Source organism: Homo sapiens, chromosome 18 (assembly GCF_000001405.40).
Source record: "Homo sapiens chromosome 18, GRCh38.p14 Primary Assembly".
Taxonomy (NCBI): Eukaryota; Metazoa; Chordata; class Mammalia; order Primates; family Hominidae; genus Homo; species Homo sapiens.
Window position 1 is genome coordinate 61,894,069 of NC_000018.10, and position 26,388 is coordinate 61,920,456.

Sequence of the window (26,388 nt, forward strand, 5' to 3'; positions counted from 1 at the left end):
GCGCAGACATCCCTGCGCACCCCTCTGTCCGCCCCCGATCCGGAGCCGGCAGAGCAGAGAAACAAACCGAAACTCACTGACCTTTCTCCGCGGCGGGCTCGGGTGCTCGCTACAGAGGCGGCGGCGGCGGCGACAGCATCGCCGGGTGGTCCCGGCGCGCCCGCTCCTTTCAGCCAGACTCGCGCCCCGGGCCGGCGGCCGCCGCTCCTCCGGCCGAGAGCCACGGGGCGGACGCTGACAGCGCGGCGGCGGCGCCTGCAGCCCCAGCACCCGGCCCGGCCCTTCGGGCGGCACCCCCACCTGCCCGGCCGCCCTCCGCGTTCGCGGTCGGACACCGCCGCCAGGCGCTCGGCACCGAGCGAGAGCTTTTTGTGTCACTGAGACTCCGGCACCAAAGGGGGTGGGGGGAGAGGCTGGGCTCCGCTCCCCGCGGCACCGCCCTCCCCGGCGGCTCCACCCCCTCCTCCCCGCCCACAGCCCGGCGGGCCCGGGACTTCTCTCCGTCAGTCCCGAATCGCCCACCTCCCCCGGGGTGAGGGGCTGCCTACCCTCTCTCGCGCGCTCCCTCGGCTTTGCCCCCAGTGCCTACCCTCGGCCAGGACCTCGACGCCGTCTCTCTACCGTGCAAAAGCGGGACCTGAGCTGGCGGCAGGTGTGAAAGGAGGCCTGGGCAGCCGGGAGGAGGGGCAGGGCCGGGAAGGGGGCCGGGGCCGCGGTGGGTGGGTTGGGGGGTGCCCAGTCTGTGCCTAGGACCCGGACAGCGAGAGGGAGGAGCTGAGATCATCAGGTTTCCAGAAGCTGCCCTGCATCCTCGTCACCGGATACTTTTTGGCTGCCCCTAAAAGTTCACGTAGTCCAGCCAGGGTGGGGCCCCGCTTTCCAAAGAGGCCCGAATGGACACCCCACTACTTGAATCCCTCGAATGGGGGACAAGAAGCAGGGGAGTAAAGAGATGCAAGTCCTAGGGGTTATATGGAAGCGCGAACCCCACGGAACCTCGGGGCCCACCCTATTCCACACCTTAAAACCTAACTTCGACCTAGGGAGGTGCTTAGAATGTCTTGTTCCCCGGAGAAAATCTCCCGCCTCTTGAGTTAACTGCGAAATAGGAGAATGGAGGAGAAAGGTCCTTGGTAGAAGATAGTTCCATGCCCTTTGGTGCCTTTTTAAAGGATTTCTCTGCAGCATGAAAACCTAAAACTCTCTTCTTGAGATGAAGTTCAGCCTGCGGACGTTACCCGGTCCCCAGCAGCAGGGCTCAGTTGAGTGTGATCCCCACGGATTCCAGCGGCACTTGCTGCCTTTCCCCACTGCTGGAGTGGAGCCGTCTTTGTCTTAAGGTCCGTAGTATCCGCAAGGAAAGAGTCCCCATTTTCACTCCCCCAAGTAGCTTATTGAAATGCTTCTGCCAAGATTTCTTTTTTTACTTTTTCTGTTTTTTTTTTTTTGAAGATGGACTCTCGCTCTGTCACCCAGGCTGGAGTGCAGTGGCGCGATCTCAGCTCACTGAAACCTCCAACTTCCGGGTTCAAGCGATTCTCCTGCCTCAGCCTTCCAAGTAGCTGGGATTACAGGCCCGCACCACCACGTCCTGCTAATTTTTGTATTTTTGGTAGAGATGGGGTTTCGCCATGTTGGCCAGGCTGGTCTCGAACTCCTGACCTCAGGTGATCCGCCCGCCTCGGCCTCCCAAAGTGCTGGGATTGCAGGCATGAGCCACCGCGCCTTTTTTTTTTTTTTTTTTTTTTTTTTTTTTTTTTTTTAGAGGAAGCCCTGTGAGCCAGTGGGGACTCTAGGTAACCTACTATAAAACTCACAATGTACTGAGAGCACTCTTGTCATGTCCCACAATTACGACCTGTTGATGGGGTTTCCAAAAGTGCTGTCCTTAAGCACATACATAAAACTGGTCATCTAGAAACAGATAAAGCTTCATGGGTATCAGTTGTCCCTGGGATCCCAATTAAAACGTTGCCTCCTATGGTCATCTGACTGATCCTTATCCCTTTGTTCACCCAAGCTAAAACCTCCTTCGTACACCTGAAAAGAGTAAAAGCTGTATCCATGTTTTAGAAGCCTAAGGTAATCCTGAAGTAGAAGACTTCAAGAGTCTTTATTTTAAGCCCCAACTTCAGGGCAGGAAGGAGAATTTTTTTTTTTTTTTTTTTTTTTTTGAGACAGGGTCTCACTGTGTTGCCCAGGCTGGAGTGTAGTGGCCAAAATCCTGGCTCACCACAACCTCAATCTCCCAGGCTCAAGCATCCCCCTGCCTCAGCCTCCCAAGTAGCTGGGAGACTTCAGGAGTGCCACCATGCCCAGTTAATTTTTGTATTTTTTTATTTTTGTAGAGATAGGGGTCTCTCTTTGTTGCTCTGGTTTGGTCTTGATCCTGGCCTCAAGTGATCTTCCTGCCTCAGCCTCCCAAAGTGCTGGAATTGCAGGCGTAAGCCACCAAGCCCAGCTCCAGAAATTCACTTTAAGGAGAAGTTAATGAGGGTCTTGAAAACTCTGATGTTGGCAAGGAGTTGGAATAAGGAAGATGAGTTATAACATCCCAAATTTTACTAGGAAAGTTCAGCCTAGAAATGTTATGATTATACAAGAATGACTTTAAAGACTACTCTTCAGAAGCTAATTTCAGGGATCAGTAATTGTTCCAAAATTTTTCAACTCTTTTATTCAGCTGCTTTTGGAACTATTGTTTGGGGGATTCAAGCATTCAACTCGATGTGGAATAACCACCCCCATCCTGACTCTTTCACTTCCACTGGCTGGGATTTTAATTCACAGAGCATCATGGGTGTTCTGCCTTCTGTCCAGTCTTGTAAAGCTGTCACACAGAGAAGGTTAATTAACTAGGGCAGACTGGGATAGGCCAGTTCTTAAGGCTGGTCGTAGGCCAGCACTGGGGCGGGCAAAAACAGTTTGAGTCAGAGGAAGAACAGGCAACAACACGTCCCAGCAGAGTCTTCGGTGAGAAATTCCAGGATCAAGGCTGTTAGGACCAGGTAGTGTTTAGAGCTGCAAGCCAGCAAGCAGCATGGTCAGAGAATCTGGCATTGCCCTGGAGACTGGGCACTGCCCATGTGTGGGAGAGAGAGAGGGAATCAAGGCTGAATCCCAGGTCTTGAAGGACTAGGGCTGTCAGGATGGGACCCCAGCACTGGGGACTGAGATAAAGATCCAAATATTCATGAATTCATACAACAAATATTCATTGAGTATGGACTATGTACTGGGAACCTGGTCCTAGGGTTAGGATAGAGAAAACGCCCCCAAATTCCTGCCCTCACAGAACTTACATTCTAATGGAGGAATCAGACAATACCAAAAATATTGATGAAAAGAGTTGAACTCTGTAAAATATTTGAAGAGATTTATTCTGAGCCAAATATGAGTGACCATGGCCCATGACACAGCCCTCAGGAGGTCCCGAGAACATGTGCCCAAGGTGGTCAGGGTACAGCTTGGTTTTATACATTTTAGGGAGGCATGAGACACCAATCAGATACATTTAAGAAATACTGGTCCAGAAAGGCGGAACAACTCAAAGCAGGGGCTTCCAGGCTATAGGTGAATTTAAACATTTTCTGGTTGACAATTGGTTGAGTTTGTCTAAAGACCTGAAATAGAAAGGGAATGTTCAGGTTAAGATCAAGATTATGGAGACCAAAGTTCTTTTGAAATCTTATAGCGGCTGCCCTTAGAGACAGTAGGTGACAAATGTTTCCTATTCAGATCTTAGTTAATCTCTTTAGGATTGAGAGCGTCTGGAAGAAAAATATCTAGCTATGTTAATAGAGATTCTTTACAGATGCCAATTTTCCTCCACAAAGAACAGCTTTGCAGAGTCATTTCAAAATATGGAAAGAAACATGTTTTGGGGTAAAATATTTTGATATTCTTTTTTGCCTTATAATGTTATGCCAGAGTCAGGTTGGAAAGTAAATCATGATATATAGGGTTAAATAAAACCCATCTGATGAGAATTTATGATTTGTAGGGCATGACTCCCCAGACCCCTTAGATAGGAATTTGGGCAAGATGAAAAAAAAAAAATCAGAGTTTAGTCCCATGATAAATAAATAAATCGTATGTTGGAGAGTGAAAAAGGTAAGGGAGAAAACAAAGTGGGGGCCGGGCGCGGTGGCTCACGCCTGTAATCCCAGCACTTTGGGAGGCCGAGGCGGGCGGATCACGAGGTCAGGAGATCGAGACCATCCCGGCTAACACGGTGAAACCCCGTCTCTACTAAAAATACAAAAAATTAGCCGGGCGAGGTGGCGGGCGCCTGCAGTCCCAGCTACTCGGGAGGCTGAGGCGGGAGAATGGCGTGAACCCGGGAGGCGGAGCTTGCAGTGAGCGGAGCTCACACCACTGCACTCCAGCCTGGGCGACAGAGCGAGACTCTGTCTCAAAAAAAAAAAAAAAGAAAAGAAAAAAGAAAAAAAAAGAATAGAAAAAAGAAAAAGAAAAAGAAAAAGTGGGGGTGGGGCATTATGAAGTCTGTGTGTTGGGGGGGAAATTTTAGATCAGTGGCCAGGGAGGGCCTCCCTGAGGAGGCATTTTCTGAGCTGAAAACTGCAGGAAGAAAAGCACAGTGTCATGCCAGTAAATAGGGAAAGCCTGTTGCCATCATCAGAGGGAACAAGTGGGGGGTGTCTGCACTTCCCCGCGGGCAAAGGTCGAGATGCTGGAACTGGGTTACAGGGACAGTCAGATCTATAACATTGATTGATGCTGAGTCACCTGAGGTTGTATTAGAGTTGCTTACATTGGGGCAGGGATGAGTTCTTCATCTTTGTACCTGCAGCATGGAGCACAGGTGCCCAATAAATGTTTATTGAGCTGAGCCCTTAAATCTCCCAGAACCTGGCATGGAGCTGAGATTAATGTGATCCCATAATACCCAGGGCAGCCCTTCTGTCGGGGATGACACTTTCACAAAAGAATGTGATGATCTCTTCAGTCGCTTTTCATTACTGTCTTCCTGATCTGGGAGGGCAGAGATCATCTTTCAACTTGTATCCTCAGCACCTAACACGCTAAGAAGAAGGCGGACAGTGGGGCAAGAAGGCAGAGAGAGAGAGAAATCGGGAGGAGGAAACAAGCAAACCCTATTCAGTGCTTGATTATCACTACAGATCCTAATCCAGTCCAATACTGAGAGTGACTTTTCTACTCAACGTGTTTGAATTTTACATGTTAAAATTGCACCTTGAAACTGAATTAGGGTGGTAGTTGCACAACCCAGTAAATCTACTAAAAATCATTGAATTCTACACTTAACACGAGTGGATTTTATGGTATGTAAATTATACCTCAATAAACTGTTTAAAAGCATTGAAGTGGGATCCCATGTTTAGACAATTTTCACAAGCTGTCAATAATAAGCCACAAAGTCGTCTTTAACCGAACACGTTATCATCCTTCCTAATAGATGTTTAAAATTTGCAGACCAAATTGATCTGCCAATTTACTTTTCCCTTATGTGATATTAGCCACCTTAAAGTATATATAGTCTTAAAAAGTCTAAGAAGTCTTAAAGTTAGGCCAGGCATGGTGGCTCACACCTGTAATCCTATCACATTGGGAGGCCAAGGCAGGTGGATCACCTGAGACCAGGAGTTCGAGACCAGCCTGGCCAACATGGTAAAACCCCGTCTCTACTGAAAATGTAAAAATTAGCCAGGTGTGGTGGCATGTGCCTGTAATCCCAGCTACCAGGGAGGCTGAGGCAGGAGAATGGCTGGAACCTGGGAGGCTAAGGCTGCAGTGAGCCGAGATCACACCACTGCACTCCAGCCTGGGCAACAGAGCGAGACTCCATCTCAAAAAAAAAAAAAACAAAAAAAAGTCTTAAAGTTTATTTAGCCTCAAAAAGTTTACTAGTAATGATTGCTTAATATAGTGCACACTTCAAAACTGTTCTTATTTTGGGGCCCTATATAAACCAATCCCACAGACTTCTTATTCTGGTAAGATGTTCTGGATGCAAAAGGTATTAATTTGACATATTGTCTAATCTCTTTCCTATTTAGAGCCCAGTGCTACTTAGGACAATGAAACTTCATCTAGAACAAAATACTGAAGTATTTTGGAAACCTCAAAAGATTTGAATAGGAAATAATCCAAATTGCTTTTCTAAAAGTAGTGGTGGATTGAACAAAGCCATCTCTATTTTCTTTCTTTCTTTTTTTTTTTTTTTTTTTTGGGTTTTGAGATGGAGTCTCCCTCTGTCGCCCAGGCTGGAGTGCAGTGGCGCAATCTTGGCCTTCTGGGTTCAAGCAATTCTCCTGCCTTAGCTTCCTGAGTAGCTGGGATTACAGGCATGTGCCACGACGCCGGGCTAATTTTTGTGTTTTTAATAGAGATGGGGTTTCACCAGTTGACCAGGCTGGTCTCGAACTCCTGACCTCAAGTGACCCACCCACCTCAAGTGATCCTAAAGTGCTAGGATTACAGGCGTGAGTCAACACACCCCGCCTCTCTATTTTTTTAACCTCATCTTCGATATGCACAACACACATTCCAAAACAGTTGGCTAGAATGATGTGACCATTGCCAAGGGCGATGGTCGGTCACCATGCAACATGTTTAACAACCTGCAGGCGCAGACCTCCACCTATCATTTTGGGCAATGACCATACACAATCAGTATGGCCTTTATGGTGTGTGTCCTGGCTAAACATCAGCTCAGACTATGATGCCAAAGTCCTCTGGACACCCTCCTAAGCAGCAGGTATCTGCTGTGTTCTTATCATGTTTGTGCAGTTCGGGGTTGAGTAAGATCCTCACATCCACTAGCAAATTGCTGGTGTCTTTGCTATAAGTACGATAGAGGAGAATCATCATACACTGAGCTCCATTCCTTGTACAATCAACACAAGACAGTGTTCGCCCTCCCTAATGGATTGGAGTGACCACATGTGATCAGCCAGGGAAGGGTTGGATGTGGAGCTCCCCTCTCACCCCACTGTCTGCCACCTCCACCATCTGTCCTACTCACCTTCCCTCCAGGTCACCTTCTGTCACCCATGCGGTTCCAACTGTCCTCCTTATCTTTCCTTTCCATTGGCTATCAGGTTCCTGGCATCCACTTGGCCCCTCCCCTCCTGCTGCTCCAGCTGCCAGATCATGGAATGGTGCCACTTTGAGAAAGGAGAAAAGGAACAAAAGAGCCAGGAGGTCCCACCACTGTTTTTTGAGACCCCCAAGTCTGAATCCAATGTCTTGCCCTCTGCTGGTCTGCAGAATCTGGCTCCAGTTTCTCCAGGATCTATTCTTCTGTAATCCACCTGCACCTCATCCAAGTGGACCTAGCACCCCTGTACCTGCCCCAGGTCCAGACCTAGCTTCACGCAGTTCTTCCTCCCCACTGTCTCTGCTTTCAGCCACTGCGCCTGCCCTCATCATTCAAACTCAAGGAATCCAAACGTCTGTTTCTGCTGCACCTGGATCTAGGGGCTCAAGTCAGTCCACCCTCTAGTGGTCAAGAAGAGAAGTGGCAGCCTCTGCACATCAGCCAGGTCAGACCTTGAGGAGGTCAGCACAGGGAAATGCCAAGTAAGACGTGTCTCCACAAACCCACCTCCTCTGATTCTAACTGCAGTGTTTCTCCTCTGCTGTTCCTTCCCTGCCTTCCCAGTGGGTGAAGTGTGCTGGGAGAGGGCATGGAGTAAAGACCCCTTGCTCATTTCTCAACCCTTTTCCTTCTATCTCCACAACTCCTTAAATGTTCACAGCAGATTTGATTGTTTTAAAGGACACAAATTATTCTGCTACAGGACAAGGGAACTTCAGGATAGCAACCATATCCAAAATTAATAGATTACTATAATTTCTTTTTTATTGGCAAACATTTATTGAGTGTATGTACCAGATTGTGTGTGTGTTTCCATACGTGTCCTTGCAAGAACACTAGAAGTAATATGATTATCCTCACGTTACAGATGAGAAAACAAATGCCTAGAGAATTTAAGCATCTTTCCCAATATGATGTAACCAGTAAATGGTGAACGTGGACTTGACTCAGGTCTGCCGAACCCAAAGCTATTTCCCCTAATTGCTGCACTGCTTCCTCCCATAGACCAAAGTATACAGGCAATTGCACTTGATTTGCCTTAAAATGCATCTCAGTCTCTTCCAAGCCATTCCTATTTTAGCTCAGGGTGCCTGACACTGCGGCTCACAGTACTTTAGGACCCCATATCTCCCCCATGATTTCAAGTCAATCTGCTCCTCCTTATCCTCACTCTCACAGCTCCTTTGTACCTTTCCTTATGCAGCAGCGCAACCCACATTTGTACTTGTCAATCCCAAAAGATACAGTAATTTCAAAGTTTCTGGGGCATTTATGTCTCTGCCTCTCACCTTGACCTTCTCCCCTTCAAAGCTCACTCAAATTTCCCCAACCAGATTCATTTTTACCTTCTTTGCACTCTTATAACACATTGTTTGTTGTTTTATTTTGCACTTGCATTCTGCTTTATCTCATAGTTAGCTGTTCACACATTTGTAATGGTCAGTAGATCCTGAGCTGTTATTTTTCCATCTCATCCACCCATGCACACCCACACCCCACAGCATCATGCAGAATAAAGTGTTCATGCTCTGCATGCATTCAGTGCTTAATAAATGTTCATTTAAAATGGTCCGGGCACAGTGGCTCCTGCCTGTAATCCCAGCACTTTGGGAGGCAGAGGTAGGTGGACCACCTAAGGTCAGGAGTTCAAGACCAGCCTGGCCAACATATAAAAATACGCAAATTAGCTGGGTGTGGTGTTGAGTGCCTATAATCCCAGCTACTTGGGAGGCTGAGGTGGGAGCATCACTTGAGCCCGGGAGGTAGAGGTTGCAGTGAGCCGAGATCACGTCACTGCACTCTAGCCTGGGGAAGAGAGTGAGACTCCGTCGTAAAAAAAAAAAAAAAAAAAAAAAAAGTTCATTTAAAAATGACCAGTCAGTACTTTCTATTTTCTCTTCCAGAGTCATGTTTCCTATAGCCCCTCTAGGAGAATTATCCCTAAATTGTCTCTTCACAAATCTGTTACAACTCAGTTGCTCCAGGCTCCATGTAATTCCAGCTCCTTGGGAGCCTGAGGTGGGAGAATCGCTTGAGCCCAGGAGGTAGAGGTTGCAGTGACCCACTGTGCTCTAGTCTGGGCTGGGCAACAGAGTGAGACTTTGTCTTAAAAAAAAAATCATTTAAATTTTCTCCCATGTTGTAGGTTGCCTGTTCACTCTGATGGTAGTTTCTTTTGCTGTGCAGAAGCTCTTTAGTTTAATTACATCCCATTTGTCAATTTTGGCTTTTGTTGCCATTGCTTTTGGTGTTTTGGACATGAAGTCCTTGCCCACGCCTATGTCCTGAATGGTAATGCCTAGGTTTTCTTCTAGGGTTTTTATGGTTTTAGGTCTAACGTTTAAATCTTTAATCCATCTTGAATTGATTTTTGTATAAGGTGTAAGGAAGGGACATGGATGAAATTGGAAACCATCATTCTCAGTAAACTATCGCAAGAACAAAAAACCAAACACCGCATATTCTCACTCATAGGTGGGAATTGAACAATGAGATCACATGGACACAGGAAGGGGAATATCACACTCTGGGGACTGTGGTGGGGTCGGGGGAGGGGGGAGGGATAGCATTGGGAGATATACCTAATGCTAGATGACACGTTAGTGGGTGCAGCGCACCAGCATGGCACATGTATACATATGTAACTAACCTGCACAATGTGCACATGTACCCTAAAACTTAGAGTATAATAAAAAAAAAAAAAATTAAAAAAAAAAATCATTTAAAATGACCAGTTGGGACTTTCTATTCTCTCTTTCAGAGTCGTGTTTCCTGTAGCCCCTCTAGGGAAATTCTCTCTAAATTGTCTCTTCACAAGTCTATTACAACCCAGTTGATCCAGCTCTGTCAGTGTGAGATTTAGGATTATTTTCCAAATTCATTTAAAACAGAGATTAGAGAAGGGGATGGGTGTGGGTAGGGTAAATGGTTATGACATGTCATGAGAGTTCTCACTCTTGGTTTTAAGGAATATAGACTTCCCAATGCCAATCTTCACCTTATGTTACAAGTTGAATTATTTCCTCTAAAATTCAGATGTTGAAGTTCTAACCCCCAGTACCTCAGAATGTTTGGAGATTAGGGTCTTTACAGAGATCATCGAATTAAGATCAGGTCAGTAAGGTGGGCTCTAATCCTGTAGGACTGATGTTCATATAAGTAGAGGAAATTGGCTGGGCATGGTGGCAGGTGCCTGTAATCCCAGCTACTTGGGAGGCTGAGGCAGGAGATTCACTTGAACCCGCAAGGCAGAGGTTACGGTGAGCCGAGATCATGCCACTGTACTCCAGCCTGGGTGAAAGAGTGAGATTCTGTCTCAAAATAAAATAAATAAATAAGTAGAGGAAATTACGGGCGTAGACAAATACAGAGGGGAGATGATGTGAAGACAGGGAGCAGGCAGCAGTCTGTAAGCCAAGGAGACAGGCCTGGAACAGATCCTTCCCTCACAGCCCTCAGAAGAAACCAATCCTTTTGACACCTTGATTTCAAGGTTCTGGCCTCCAGAACTGTGAGACAATAAATTTCTGCTGTTTAAACTACCCAGTCTGTGGCATTTTATCATGGTAGCCCTACAAGCGAATATGTCCTAGGACGCTTGTTGACACAGAATTGGATTCCACAACCTGCAGCGGTTCTTTATCTAGATGCCATTTATTTTCTGAGTGTTTACCTCCATGGGTAAGCTAAAAAGATAACCAAGAAATTGTGTGTTCTCCCTTTTGGGAGAAGAAAAACAGTAATGATAGCTATTATTATGAAGCATTATTGTGTATGTCAGCAATGAGATGATATTCAGTACAGTAATGTGTATAAATCACTATATTAGGTGCTTTGCAAACATTCTCTCAATTCTCCCAGCCACCTAATTGGGTGCAGGGGGTATTGTTATCCTCAGTTCACAGTTGTGGAAATTGAGGCTCAGAGATATTAATGCAAGTCACCCAGGATTATGCTTCCAGTGAACTTCAAGGCCTGGCTGTGTCCCGTTGGTCGTCTATGTTGCCTTTCCCCATGTGGCATATTCCTTTTTCTGTTCCAGTGTCCTCCCCAACCCAAGTGCCTCAGATGATCCTAACTAGTTATGCAGTAACCTGTGGTGGTCCCATTTCTTGTGCTCATGATTGGTTTAAGGATCGGGATGTGACCAGTATTGGACAATGAGAGATGAGAGGAAGTCGGCTGGAAGGCTTCTAGAAAAAGCATTCCTCACTATCAAAAAGAGATGCGCAAAGCGGCAGCTTCTCTTCTGCTGCTGGATGTTACCGAATCTGCATATGATAGTAGGATGACGGCAGCCACCTTGTAGCAAAGAGCAGAGTTTCCTCCAAGAGAACATTCTACGGGGAGAAGAGGAAACAGCACCAATGACATCACTTTGCCTGAGTTCACAAACCCTACAGGTGCTCCCACCCCCTACATTTTTCCTTGTGTGAGATAATAAATTCCTTATTATTTAAGCCATTTTGTGTTGCCTTCTGCTATTTGCTGCTGAAATCATCTCGATATGCCTTTTCTACCAATATGCTTTGATTTTCCACAGTAAGACCAGTTTTTAGACATCGTATTATTAGAAATAACCTCAGATTCACTGCTATACAGAGTTTCAAAGTTCCAACAGAGAGAAACAACATTTTGCGTGTTTTCTTAAGCTGGTTAAAAAATACATATGATTGGCCATTTTAACCACTTTTAAGTGTCAGTTCAGTGGCATTAAGTATATCTACATTATCATGCAACCATCACCACTATTCATTTCCAGAACTTTTTTTTTTTTTTTTTTTTTTTTTTTGAGATGGAGTTTCACTCTTGTTGCCCAGGCTGGAGTGCAATGGTGCGATCTTGGCTCACTGCAACCTCCCCCTCCCGGGTTCAAGCAATTCTCCCTGTCTCATTCTCCTGAGTACCTGGGGTTACAGGCATGGGCCACCATGCCTGGCTAATTTTTATATTTTTAGTACAGACAGGGTTTTGCCATGTTGGCCAGGCTGGTCTCGAACTCCTGGCCTCAGGTGATCTGCCTGCCTTGGCCTCCCAAAGTACTGGGATTACAGGCATGAGCCACCACGCCTGGCCTCCAGAAATTTTTCATCATCCCAAACTGGAACTCTGTATTCATTAAACAGTAACTCCCTACTTGCCTCCTCCAACCCCTGGCAACCACCATTTCCCCTTCTGTCTCTATGAATTTGACTTCTCTGGGTATCTCATATAAGTGTACTCATAACAATATTTTTCTTTTATGTGTGGTTCATTTTTTTCCTCTAATGCTTTCAAGATTCATTCATGCCTTAGCACATATCAGAATTCCCTTCTTTTTAAGACTTATATATAGTCCATGGTATGCATATATTGCATTTTGTTTATCCATTCATCTGTCAGTGGACATCTGGCTTGTTTCCACCTTTCAGCTATTGCAAATAATGTTGCTATGAACATCGGTGTACAAATACCTGGCTGAGTCCCTGCTTTCAATTCTTTCAAGCATATACCCATAAGTGGAATTACCAGATCATATGGTAGTTTTACTTTTAAATGTATGAGCAAGCTTCCTACTGTTTTCCATGGCGGCAATGCTGTTTTACATTTCCACCAACAGTGCACAAGGGTCCTAATTTCTCCACATCCCTGCCAACACTTGCTCATTTCATTTTTTTAATAATAGCCATCCTAATGGATACGGCACGGCGTCTCACAGTGGTTTTGATTTGCATTTCTCTAATGATTAGTGATGTTGAGCATTTTTTCATGTGTTTACTGGCCATTCATATCTTTTCTGGAGAAACGTCTACTCAAGTCCTTTGCCCATTTTTGAATTGTTTGTTTTTGTTGATGTTGAGTTTTAGACATTCTTTACACATTCTGGATTACTATTCCTTATCAGATATGTGATTTGCAAACATTTTCTCCCATTCTGCAGGGTGCATAGTATCCCTTGAAACACAAAAAAGAATCAGCGTTTCTCTTTGGAGGATTCTCTAAAGAATATGGAGCCCATCCATTCTTCAAATACTGTAAAATCTATCCCTGAATTAAGTCAGATCACCAGAGACAGACACCTACTTTGCTTCGTGTACCCCATCATATTTTTTCATTCATTCACTCACTGGGCACATATGTGCTGAGCCCCCGCCACGGGCAAAGCTATGCTAAGCAATTTTACTAAATTGTGTGTTGCCTCTAGTGTGAGGAAAATCAAAAGAACTGACCCTGTGCCACTTGTTGCTGGGTTCACGGTATGGATGTTGCCAGTCATGTTGTCCCTAAAGAGTATTTTAGCATATCCCAATTATGAAGACTGATGAGAGAAATTTCCCTCTGGTCTCCTATCAGGGATATTTGTGCTTCTTCCTTAGTCACTGATCATGTTTAATGCACGTCTTATAACTGGTCATTCCTTCCTTCTCACCATGGCTGCTGGGATTGCCATGGGCCATCCTGACATGCTTTTCAAGGGAATGAACTCAGTCCCCACTCCATCTTAACTTCCTAATCTTGTTTTTCCTTTGCCTTCTTAAAGAGCTACTTTTAAATTTTATTTTATCTTCCTTCATTTTAGCCATTTTTAATACTGCCTTAAATCCTTTTTAAAACAATAAAAAAGAAAACCAATGAATCATCAAACATTATCACTCACTATCATTGTGTAGGCCCCAATACAAAATGGAAATGGAGGGTGCCTTTCCAAAAGTTATTAAGAATTTCAAGATGATAACAGCAGTGCATTAAACCACACGTTGGACCCTTCTGAGTATGGGACCTTGTGTGATTGTACAGGTCACATGCCCATGAAGCCAGGTCTGCCAACTATTGTCATCTGGGGAACAGACACAAGTTATTTTTCCATTTAGTAATTGAACATTGTGTCTGTTCATCTTTTAAAGCGTTTTCAAGAGCTATTCATAGCTGGTGAGCATTGGGCACACCTTGGTGTTAGAGAATACAGAGGCAGAGAGATGGGAAAATTAAAATGACTTCAGGGATTGTATTGATCTAAAATTGATCATTTCTATGAGCTTCTGATGGTCAACTTCTTGGTTCATGTACCTCTGGTTCATCTTTGCATTTTCCCACAGTTCTAGCACAATGCTGTCACATAATAGGAACTCAAACCCTGGTTGTGTGGTTGGCTAGCTGGGTGGTGACGGTTGGACATACATGAGCCATATTTAGGAAATAGAAAATAAGGTTAAAAAAGTTCTTTGGGTTTCAACTTAAGGAGGTGTAGAGTGGTGGACTTAAGTTTGGTAGAAATGAAAAGGAGGATTGTTCTTGAGCAAAAGGATGATTTAGAAAAGCTGACCTGGCCCTGGTATGAAAGATGAGTTGGAGAGCAGCTACTAGAGGCAAAGCATGCAGCTAGAAAGTCATTACCCCAGTTCCCATGAGGTGATTAGACTAGAATTAGACTGGGTAGCAGTAACAGTGTGATCATCACAATAGTAGTACCTACTTCTTTACATTTTCACATCTTTTCACATCGCTGTTTCATTTGCTCTTTTGATAATCCTGCTTGGAAAGTATTATTGCATTTTATAGAATTGCAAATTGATTCTCGGAAAGTGCGAATGATTTCCCAGGTGGGAGTAATTAACGAGCACAGCCAGGTCAGGTCTGCATGGGCAAGTCTTTTTCTCCTCCACCCTGACCGCACATTCCAGTTGCTGGATGAACTTTCAAACAATGAGGTGTCTAGACGTCACCCCCAGATATTCTGATTTAATTGGTCTTGGGTGAAATCCAGGTAAGGGAGTTTTTCAAAACTTCCTGGGACTCTCAACTGCAGCCAGGTGGAGAACCTGTGGGCTGTGGCACAGCCTGGCTGTAAGGCAGGGCCTGAAAGCCAGAGACCATGGGAAGGCAGAATTGATGAGACTTGACATTGAACTGCGGAGAGACGCCAAGACAATGAGGTTTTTAGCCTCAGGGACTAACTACCTCTTTAACCTCATCTTTAACGAGACCAGGATGGAAACACATATGACTGGGAGCAGCTGCATTCGGGATTGGAATAAAAGGAAAATTGCTGCTTTCAATGTGATCAAAAACAGGCATCCATCCCACAGTTGGTAAACAGTGTGGGTATGTGTACGACAAATGTGTGTTCTTCAGTGGGGGCTGGAGGTGGCAAACCCTAAAGGTAGTGATATGGACAATGCTTCCCCTGAAGTGTCCCACAGACTTCTATCCAGTGGTGCTAAATTCTGTCCTTGGAAACATTCCATGAGATTGTTTGCCTCTTGGATTTCCACATCTACACCCAGATTCATGGCCCATGGGGAAAAAACCTGGGTGATGTCAACCACAGCAGGGCCGTTCTTGAGATTGAAGGCAGGATGGCTGGAAGGGAAGATGGATTTAAGAGACAAAGTATTTTAGTTGCTGGTAGCATATGCAGGTGCAGAAGACCAGCAAACCATTGGCGGTGTGAGACTGAATCACTGGGTTGCATCTTAAACAATTCAGTAGAAATTGATTAACATCTTAGATATGGGGGAGATCAATAAGCAACTCAGTAATGAAAGAGAAGAGGTTCAAGGACCAAACAGGAGAGACGGCTGTCCTTAGGGGTTTGAGTGAGAAAGAGGATGCACACAGGGTACTTTACTTTTGAGTACCACCACCTTTCCTGATCATCTCCCACTGATTTCTTACTTGTACCATTGAGGTAAATCACTGAGACTGTCCCTAGGCCCTGAGCATGATCTTCACTTTTCCATCTCCTTGTTCTTTTTCCTGAAATGTTACTTCTCTTCTCCATATGCACATGTGGGGTCAGTCCTCTGGAAGACCCATCTCCAATGCCCCCCTCTTCTTTGGAGAAATTTCTGCTGTCTATCCCCCTGTGTGGATATTTCACCTGTTCCTTCTTTAACCCTCATTGTACTTCTCTGTGAAGATCTTACACACTGCAACAGTTGTCTATTGCTGTATAACAAATTAGTTCCAAATTTACCAGCTTAAAAGAGTCAAACATTTATCATCTCTCACAGTTCCTTGGGGGTTAGGAAGCAGGGAGTGGCTTAGCTAGGTGGTTCTGGCTCAGGGCCTTTCATGAGGTTGCTTAGGTGTCAGCTGAGGCCACCCTCTTCTGAAGGCTTGACTGGGACTGGGTGACCTGCTCTCAAGATTGTTCACTCACATGGCTGCTGGAAGGATGCCACTGCTCCTCACTGGCCTGACCAGAAGGCTTCAGCTCTTTGCCACATGAGCCCCTCCACAGGTTTGCCTGAATATCCTCACAGCATGGCAGCTGGCTTCCCCCTGAGAATCTGATGAGAGACAGAGACAAAAAAAAGAGACAGAGAGAGAGAGAGAGAGAGAGACAGCAGGAAGCCATTTGTCTTTTATGATCTAGTCTCCAAAGTTGCCAAAGTTGCACATCAATATTTCCTCTTTATTCTATTTGTTAGAAGTGTGTCACTAAGAGTGGCCCACATTCAAGAAAAAGGGAATTGTCTCCAGCTTTGGAAGGGAAGGTATTAAAGAATTTGTGCACATATAAATGATCCGCAATTTATTATTGTTCCATTTATGATTTTTTTGACCTCACAATGAGTTTACGGGGTATTAAATGCATTTTGACTTATAATATTTTTGACTTAAAGTGGATTTATTGGGGCATAACCCCTTTTAAGTTGAGGAACATCTGTATTTAAAACCACCACATTCACTTGCCATAATCTTCCCTACATTCAAACTCTTGTCTTTTAATTCAAGACAAGGCTTATTTGGTAAGCCTTTATGGAGCACCTGTCAGGTGCATTGCATTGTGATAGATAAAAATAACAGGGAGAACCTTCACTTAATTCTACAAATAGCAAAGAGAGACAAGTAAGTAGGTATTGCTATACAATGCAGTAAGTACTGTAAGAGGGAAATAAGAAAGCACAATGGGAGAACAGAGATAGAAGTAGCTAAATATAAGGGAGTCAGGAAAGGTTTTGTGTGGAATGTTTCACCTTTGTTGTTTCTGCATACTCAGCACCCTTTCCCCTGTCTTCTGGTAATACAGTGCCTCTTTTTATATCATTTGAAGGAGCCCTTCCAATTACACATATGCCCTGGACATAGTGTCTCTCTGCCATAGACACTGGTTCAAGGATGGGTACATGACACAAGCTAGGCGAATGCAAACCATTCCCCAGAGACTTCTGCTGGAACTCATGGAAGAGTTCCTCTCTTCTTCTGAGATAGGGGCAAGCCTGGCGGAGCTGCCAGCAAGCATCCTTACTGTGACCTGGAGAGACTGACATCCACATGGAGGGAAGTAGAGCTGGAGAAGCCTGCCCTGATGACCTTACCAGCTCTGGGATTCTCTGAAGCCACAGCACCTCTGCATTTAGTTATTCTTATTTGCTAAAGGCTACTTTGAGATCAATGACTGTCAGTGTTATTCAACAGAGGCCTGACTCCTAGAGGAGGTTGTATGGAGCTGGGTCTTGCAGACCAAGCAGAAGTTTGTCAGATATAAGTAAAAACAGGCTTCAGAGGCATGTCAGAAAGAAAAGAAGGTGCAAAAACATAGAGTCATGTGATCTAGAGCCCAGGAGAAGTCCTGCACAGCTAGTGCAGGGGCTGCCTGGCTGGACAGTGAGAGGGAAGAGCAGAGGAACCTGGATGGCGAAGGAGCCTTGAACCCCAAACACTGGAAAGGTCAGGTGTCTGAGTCAGGGTCAGAGGGGATGCCTCTTTTTCTAGCCACAATATTCTATAACATTCAATCTCTGCTTCAGGAGGGCAGGATAAATAAATGTTGTATATTTAGATTGTTGTGTTTGCTTATTTTAAATTAGAAAGCACTTTGGATTATATATAGCAGAGTAGTGCAGTGGCTTAAAAATTTGGGGGTCACACAAGGGATGAGACGGTGCCCAGAAAAACATGATCTGTAACATTAGATCAGAATCATCTGTTAAGGTGGGCATCCCAGAGTACATTAAAAAGGGTATTGCATTCCTATAAGTAGAAGGAGAGGAAATAGGACCCCCACTCTGAGTGGAAGACCTGACAGCTACAAATTATCAGCCAAACCTCTGGATATCCTTCTCTGGGTCCCACTGACCCCTTGCTAAAGAGACAAAAGCTCTTGGCAGCCTGGTCATGGCACCCACCTTCCAGATTCATGGAGAGTGGTCCTGCTCTCCGTGTTTCTGACCTCAAAGCCAGAGTTTGAGGTCTCAGCCTGCCCTTTCCTCTCGCCAATCTTAACCTCTCTGGCTAGGGTAAGAAGAGGAAAGCACAATGAAGCCATTGCTCAGAGAAGCCACTGTTCTGCCTTTGTTCTCCCTTCTTCCTAACTAGCTTCAGAATAAGGCTGTCTCCTACCAAGCAAAATCAGAGGTCCTTGATGTGAGCCTTGGAATTCAAACCCAGTGCAAGCTCTTTCAGATCACAGATCTCATCACATGTTTACTGCCTACCTCAAGTAGATTCTCAATGAATGCTTAAAGTTTCGAATTTTAAGAATTCAAACCTTTTGCTTCAAGGGAGCAAGTAATGAGGTCCTGGTATGTGAAGGTGTGGCCAACACTTCTAAATACAGTGCAGGTAAGGGGAGAGCCAGCACTGCCTCAAAGAAATACCAGCATTGAGAGAAGATTTTCTAAGGTCAAATATGTTTATATACTGAGAAGCGGGGAGATACTGTAAAGTTACGAAAGAAGCCTAGGAATATTTGACCAATATATTTAATTTAATACCTGTCTGTATTCATTTAAGAATTTACATTTACAGCAGGGCACGGTGGCTCATGCCTGTAATCCCAGCACTTTGGGAGGCCAAGGCAGGTGGATCACCTGAGGTCAGGAATTCGACACCAGCGTGGCCAACATGGCAAAAACCCCTCTCTACTAAAAATACAAAAAAATTAGCCGGGTGTGGTGGTGGGTGTCTGTAATCCCAGCTACTCGGGAGGCTGAGGCCGGAGGATTGCTTGAATCCAGGAGGTGGAGATTGCATTGAGCCAAGATCATGCCATTGCACTCCAGCCTGGGTAACAAGAGTGAAACTCCATCTCAAAATAAATAAATAAATAAATAAGAATATATATTTACAAAGGGAGGAAAAAAAACTACCTATTGGGTACCATGTTCACTATTTGGGTGATGGGTTCAATTGAAACCCAAACCTCAGCAACATGCAATACAGGCACATAATAAACTCACACATGTGCCCCCGAAGCTAAAATTTTAAAAATATATATATGCTTATAAATGTCCATTGGAGATTTATAATATATAGACACACAAATACATGTGTATTTGTATATGTATGTTTAATATACATCCTACCGTGCTACTATAAAAATGCATACTATTTAGAAGAAATCGGAATTAGAACTGTATATATTAAAACTTAAGGAATTTGCTCAAAATTGTACCCAGAAACATATTCAAAGTTTTAAAAGCTTTCACTGTAATTCAAGAAAGGCTGAAAAAAGAAAAACTAATTATTGAACTCTAGAAGCTATAAAAACATCATATATACCTAAAATAAAGAGAAAAAAGAAAATAATAGAGGTAGAAATCCCAAAACAATAAGATTAGGAATTGGCCAACAAATTCAAGAGCTTTATACTTAAGAAAAAATAAGCAAAATAAACCATGTCTGAAGGATTAAATGAAGACAAATAATAGTGATAATACAGATTTAGAAATGGTAGAGTATGCAACAATTAATATAAAGGGAATTTATCTAAATAGATTAGTATAAGCTTGTATATGCAATTCTTGTACCATGTTTAACCCTATGCTAATACATTCCAGAATCTGGACATTATCTGAGAAATACAAATTTCCAAAACTGAAACCAGAAACAGTAAAATATGCTACAGCAGTAACAATAAAATAAACTGAAAAAATAATCTAAGAACTAGTTCTCAAAAAAGGATCTGGAACCAGATCATTTTGCTAGTAGATTTTTTTCAAATTCTCAAGGAATAAAAATTTATATCTTCTATAATTTGTTTTAGGGCATGTAAGAAATGAAAATTACTCCATTTATTCTGTAATTTTTCCTTTCACTTTCTTTTGTTCCTATCTTTCATCATTTTATTTATTTTATTGGTCTTTTACACTCAGTTAACCCCATATTCCATCAAACTTGTTGCCTGACCAAAATGGTTTAAAAAGGTTTTTGCTTCTAAGGAGCTTTTAATAGGTTATGAAACATGTTTATAGACAAGAAGTAAGCAGAAAAATGTTTTTCTTATCCTCTTCAGAATCCAACATTTCAACAATAAATATGTTTAATATGGGTGACTTCTATCTTGCTTTTTAAACAAAGACAAATGGTTTGTAATTATCATCCTTCCTTTTTGTATTTTAACTTTAATATATATATTTTTTGCTTAGTTTAGTCTATTTAATGTCCTTCCCCTTTAAAAACTCTGCTAATCCTCTTAAGGATCTACGTCCAAATCTTCACTTTCTTTTTTTTTGAGACTGAGTTTTGTCTTGTAGCCCAGGCTGGAGTGCAATGGCATGATCTCGGCTCACTGCAACCTCCGCCTCCCAGGTTCAAGCAATTTTCCTGCCTCAGCCTCCGGAGTAGCTGGTATTAGAGGCGCCCACCACCATGCCCACCTAATTATTGTATTTTCAGTAGAGATGGAGTTTCACCACATTGGCCAGGGTGGTCTCAAACTCCTGACATCAGGCAATCCACCCGCCTTGGCCTCCCCAATGTGCTGGGATTACAGGCATGAGCCACCACGCCCAGCCCAAATCTTGATTTGCTAATTCTTACATTTTCAGTGACTCCACACTCATAAGCCCTGTTCCTTACCAATGATTTTCTCTAGAATACCAACTGTTTAATATTCAGGATTAATTCCTCAGTAAACAAGCCAGAGTTATGAGCAATTGAAGAAAACTTCCTAACTCCAGGAAGAAGTCTGCCATCACCATTGGCACACTTGCTGGAAATTTGAACAGTGTGGAAACCTCAGAAATATTTCCAATTTGCAGAAGTGTGTTCATCAAGTTCAAGGGCAAAACTAGTGAAAGGAAAGTTTTGCTACCATAGTTTTCTCTTGCACCTCTTCTTTAGGGGTGGAGAAGAGGAGAACTTTCTCCATCTGTCCACAAAGATTTGAATCCTTTCACAAAAGAAACGATGCAGTTTTGCTGAAAGCATTCATAGTTAATTCAATGTAACCAAAATCATTTACCTTTAACCTCTTCAGCACCAGGAACAATGATAAATGTCCCCTCCCCACTGCCTCCCTTAATTTTGTTCCTACCATGGAACTAATTGCATTAAAGTTCACACACACAAAAAAAATGCTTGTTGGAGGGTATGATTCAATGTTTTGTTCTTCAAGGCCTAGCACAGTACCTAGAACATAGTTTACACTTAATAAGTGTTATATGAAATGAAATGAAATCGAATGAAATTGAATCTAACTAAAATGAAGGTATAAAGAAAAATCTATGGGAGTAACAGAGGAAAGCAATTTCTAATTCGCCTGGGGTGCACTAGGAAAAGATGAAACAAAAATAATACTAAATTTGTTTTGAGTTATGCAAACCATTTGGACAATACAATTTAATTGCATGGAGCAAACATGTATTTAATTGTAATAATAAATATTTACACATTTTTACACAGCATTTTAATCTTCAAAACCCTTCCAGGCACTAAATAATTGAATTTTCTAGACTATATTCTTCAAAAAATCATCCACATTGATTTAATGGTCCCAACAGAGTAGTTAAATGAAAATATCAACAAATTAAATTAGCACAAAGCTCAAAATTTCTCTCCACATTATTCAGACCACCCACCTTCTCCCCCAGAGGTGGTACCAAGAGAAAATAGATGATCCCAACTCTATTTCCAACAAATGGGGACCACCGTGTCAATATGGACACCAGCATCATCTTACCACGTGCATGACAGACACAATCTAACAAGACACACAGATCGTCTAGGCCCTAAAGCGAAAAGCAGCAGTTTCCCAAGCTCCATATTGGCTATTCTTTTCTACTCACTAGAGTAGAGTCCCTTCTTCCCTAGTAAACTAAAGAACTTCTAGAACTAATGTTTGTCTCTAAAAAGACAAGCCTCTGATTATATAAAGAGAAGTTTCTACACTGGCATATATCTGTGCTGTGATATATGCATCTGTAAAAAGATGTTTAATGGGACTTTTCTTGTCACATATTTTGAGTACAGCCCCAATGCTGAGAACCATCAGAGAAAAATTCCTGAAGTCCACCTTCAGCTTATGTAAGAAAGGCCAGTGATAGAAAAGAGCAATTAGAGAATGTTATCAAGCACCCAGTTTGAGAGCTTCTTCCTCCTACCCTGAGCCGGAAGTGGGAGGCCCCAAGAGACCCCTTCCCAGAGGCCAGAGAGGGCATTTTGAAGAAGACGTCGGAAGGACAAGAAAAGGGAGAAGAAGAGTGAAGGAAGTGGCCCCTCCCACTGTGTCTCTGAGCCAAGGTGAGGCCAGGGGTGGGGAGGGAAGAAGCTCTGGATGGAATGAGAGATTGAAGTTTTGATTTAGACTCGAGGAGACATTTTAGCTCCTGAAAGTGAATCACAGCACCTCAGATTGTTCTTACAACTGAGAGCCATTCAAAAGCAATGAGACCTTCCTAAAGTGCTATCCTGGGTCAGGGAACACAGATTGGACAAAGCCATGAAGAGAAAAATAAATAATTCTGTATCACTTTTGTATCCACTGAGATCATCCCACTTAATTAGCCAGTTACATTTCCTTAAAATATAGCCTCATTTGTCCTAACATGGCCAAAATAAATATAACAGAATAGTCTATTATCTTAGCAGTCATAATGACCGAATTGGCTTAACCACATAGCAATCCAAATAATTGTGCAAAAATCAACCTTAATTATTGTTGAAAAGTCTAAACAACCACACCGCACAAAGACTGACTGGATGAATGGCTATGTATACCTGCAGCTTTAAACTTGTCTCCTTTTTTTTTCATAATATAACCACCAATAAAACTGAATTATGAAATTTAGATCATGCTGTTACTAACATGACAGACATTATTACTTGTCTGGGTAATCAAAACCTGGCAGACATTCAGCGTCATTGTTGTTTTAAACAAATACTTTGAATTTTCTACTCAGAAACAGGCTAAGGGTCTAATCTGGAAGATTAATAAGGACAAAGTTTAGCTGGGGAAACAAATTTAGGCTAACACTTCAAATGTCCCAAGCTTAAACTACTTTTTGAGAGGACAAGCTTCTTAAGTGATGTATTCCAATCCCTCAGGTTACTGTGAGAATGACCTCTTGATTTTGAATCACTGAGAGACCCAGGATTCATTCATCACCCACAAAGAACCTGGAAGCCCTTTTTTTCACTAGGAACTACTTTCATTTTTACCTTTTGGAAAGGTCTGTAACCCTGACCGAAAGAAAATAAATAAACTGATCAGGAGATGACTACCTAGATTAATAAAATTTGGAATGTTTTGCAATTGTATGATAATGACGGTATTTGCAATAATAAAATGGCTCGCAATTTGAGTTTACAATCCCTAGTTACTCCACAAAGCATTAGTGTTTTAGATGCAAGATTGGCTATTAACAAGGCTTCTGCCCAGCTCCTGTATGAGGATTCTGTTATGGGTAAACTGGAGACAAAATGGGAGTTTTAATATGATTATGGGTCAGTGGTTTTTGAATTGTTAATGTGCAGAAGACCCCAGAGGAATATGCTGAATATATAGTCGATGAAAGACACAATTAAATAAACAAAAAGCAATTTACAAGCTGGAAAACATTTTTAGTTCTCATGGAGCATTATAACACATGTCCTCTAGCAACCAAATTAACAGGGCTGAGCTGACACCACAGAAAACAGGCAAGTAAATTAATTTCGCTTCATAGGCCCAGAACCTGAAAGAAAATGGCTTGTGGGAAAGCATTTCAAAATGGAAAATATGAATCATGAGGTGAGACACATGATTTCTGGGGGCATGGAAACTCCTTAGAACAAGACTCATCCTAGTGACATTAACATGAAGATGAAATTTATTTATGTGTTTATTCATATGTCTACTGCACCTTGTCCATTACCAAAAAAGATTCACAATGAATGAGAAAATCCTAGTGGCTGAGGGGGATATTTTCAGTCTGGATTGGGCAGTGTTTTGCACCTATCTGAAAATCCTTCGTACTAAGCACAGCACCTGTGGTCATGTGAGGTGGCTTACCTGCAGCTTCATGTTTGCAGTTCAAGGGTGACCTTGGCAATGGGAACCAACCTCCCTATTTTCTTGACTGTTAGCTCTATCGTTGCTCATCTAGACCACTAATTTGTCACCCTAAGACGCCCATCTGGTAGCAGCAATCCAGAAGAGAAAGACAGCCCCCCATCAATGCAATTGCACACACACTGTGGAGACCCCAAGAAGAAACACACACACCTCCCCCTGGTCCCAGCTGAGATGTAATGGGTTACAAAACTTGGCAGAAATGAACCTCAGAGGTTCTCAGATTCTCTGACTTTTCAATACCAAGTTGGTGTCCAAAAGTCATATTCAATTCTGACACAAACCACCCAGAGTCAGCATCAGACTCCGCAGGTTTAAGGATTCAGTCCCAAAAGACTGTCCTCACCTCAAATACCAATCACAAATGGAATGTTGTGGCTTTGCTACAGTTCTGTCTGGCTTTGCTACAAATGTGCAGGGTTTTAGGTGGCCCCTGCTTTCAGGTTCCATAATTTGTGAGAATGACTCACAGAACTCAGGAAAATGCTAACCTTACCAATATAGTTTCTTATAAGGATAAAATGAACAGCCAGATGAACAGGTGCACAGGGTGAGGTCTGAAAGGGTCCCTAGCTGGGGAGCCTCTGTCCCCATGGAGTCAGGATGCAACACCTCCTTGGAGGCTGGGGAATAGGGCTGAAAGTTCCAACTTCTAATCAAGGCTTAGCCTTTCTGGCAGCCAGTTCCCATCTAGGAGCCACCAAGAATTATGTCATCAGCATAAACTCAGGTATGGTTGAAAGAGGCTCCTTATGAATAACACAAGAGATTCCTATCACCACTGTCACCCAGTAAATCCCAAGGGTTTTAAGAGCTCAGTGCCAGGAACCCAGAGCAAAGACCAAATATCTATTTCTTGTTATACCACACAGGCTCATCTAGCATTAAACCTAAAGGGGCTCTGTGAGGTCATCTCACCTGAACCAACTATCACATCTCCTTTTACCTCCATGAACCCTCCAGCATATATAATGGTGACTCAGTTTTGTTCAATAAACATTTTCTAAGCCAGTTATGAGTGCTAGACACTGCCAGGGATAGAAGAGCAAGACCTGGTGCTGGCCTATCTCACTGGCTAACATTTCTACAGGGCACTAAAGAGTGCTTCCCGGATTTATCTCATTTAATCCTGTTAACTATCCTATGAAGTTGGACACATTTTACAGATAAGAAACATGAGCCTTTGCAAGGTTAAGGAAGGCCAAGGTTATGTCCTAGGAAGCCATGGAGAGAGCACTTGGAGTCAGGTCTGTTTGACTCCAGGGTGCAAGTTCGTTAGGCTGCACCACTCTACTGCCCAGCTATCGGGAGGGAGTGGACTGCTCTGGAACAAACTACAAACTTGAGATTAAAGTAACCCACAAGAATCACAAATAATATGAGCAGGGCATGTCTTTAAAAACTATGCCCCTGATATTACGATCCTTGGGGTAATTTCTTTGATTACTATGAGTAAGCACTTTCAGTTAGGGGAGACATCCTGAATGCAACCAAAATAATTAATATAATCAAAACAAATTTTTTCAAAAATAAAGTTTCACTGAAAATTAAACCTCATTAATTCAGATGCCCCAGTTCATAATCAGTGTTAAATTAATAGGAGCCATGCTGAAGTTTACCTTTCCAAACCCTTTCCTAATAAATCAAGAAATTAATTACACAGTTGTGAGATTTACTCATTATTTGATTCCAGAGCATTTTATCATTCTCGATTAAAATTCTACGTTTCTATTTTGACTATGATTATATTAAGCCACACTTGTAAAACTTAATAGAAAGGCAAAATAGAGTTCTTACTCTATGTAATACAGCATATAGTTACTAGAAATATTGATACAGCAAAGCCTTTTGATTTGGTTATTTTTAAAATTTTGCATAATCAATTTGTTATAAGTTTATGTTGTGTAATGTCTCTATGCAGAAAAATCTACACTTTTGTGTTGTATTCAATGTAATTCTTACAAAGAATGTGATTCTGGTGGTTATTTCCTAGGTAATAACATAATTCATAATAAAAACTGCAACTTCTAAGACTTCAATAGCA

At 42.9% G+C, this 26,388-nt stretch overlaps 1 protein-coding gene and 2 long non-coding RNA genes across 8 annotated transcripts in view, besides 2 other annotated features; 1 reads left to right on the top strand and 2 right to left on the bottom strand.

Moving 5' to 3' along the window:
• RNF152 (ring finger protein 152) overlaps nt 1-344 on the bottom strand; it is an 86,346-nt gene extending 86,002 nt beyond the window's left edge. For all 6 annotated transcript variants that reach the window (XM_005266652.4, XM_017025612.2, XM_005266650.4 and 3 more), the window contains exon 1: nt 82-344. The gene's annotated coding sequence lies outside the window, so the exon portion shown is untranslated. The remainder of the gene's footprint in view (nt 1-81) is intronic.
• Nucleotides 125-274: a silencer, noted in NCBI's record as "silent region_9499". NCBI's record gives its function as "represses an Ori minimal core promoter by ATAC-STARR-seq in GM12878 lymphoblastoid cells {active_cell/tissue: GM12878}" and the evidence as "EXISTENCE:reporter gene assay evidence [ECO:0000049][PMID:35858748]".
• Nucleotides 345-494: a silencer, noted in NCBI's record as "silent region_9500". NCBI's record gives its function as "represses an Ori minimal core promoter by ATAC-STARR-seq in GM12878 lymphoblastoid cells {active_cell/tissue: GM12878}" and the evidence as "EXISTENCE:reporter gene assay evidence [ECO:0000049][PMID:35858748]".
• Nucleotides 485-11,548, top strand: LOC105372159 (uncharacterized). Its single transcript, XR_935562.3, has 3 exons — nt 485-652; nt 7,395-7,566; nt 11,127-11,548. It is a non-coding gene; the product is annotated as an uncharacterized LOC105372159 (long non-coding RNA).
• Nucleotides 3,601-16,350, bottom strand: LOC112268209 (uncharacterized). The gene is made up of 3 exons (XR_002958202.1): nt 16,227-16,350; nt 7,010-7,151; nt 3,601-3,623 (listed from the first exon to the last, which is right to left on the bottom strand). It is a non-coding gene; the product is annotated as an uncharacterized LOC112268209 (long non-coding RNA).
• Nucleotides 16,351-26,388: the final 10,038 nt, after the last annotated feature.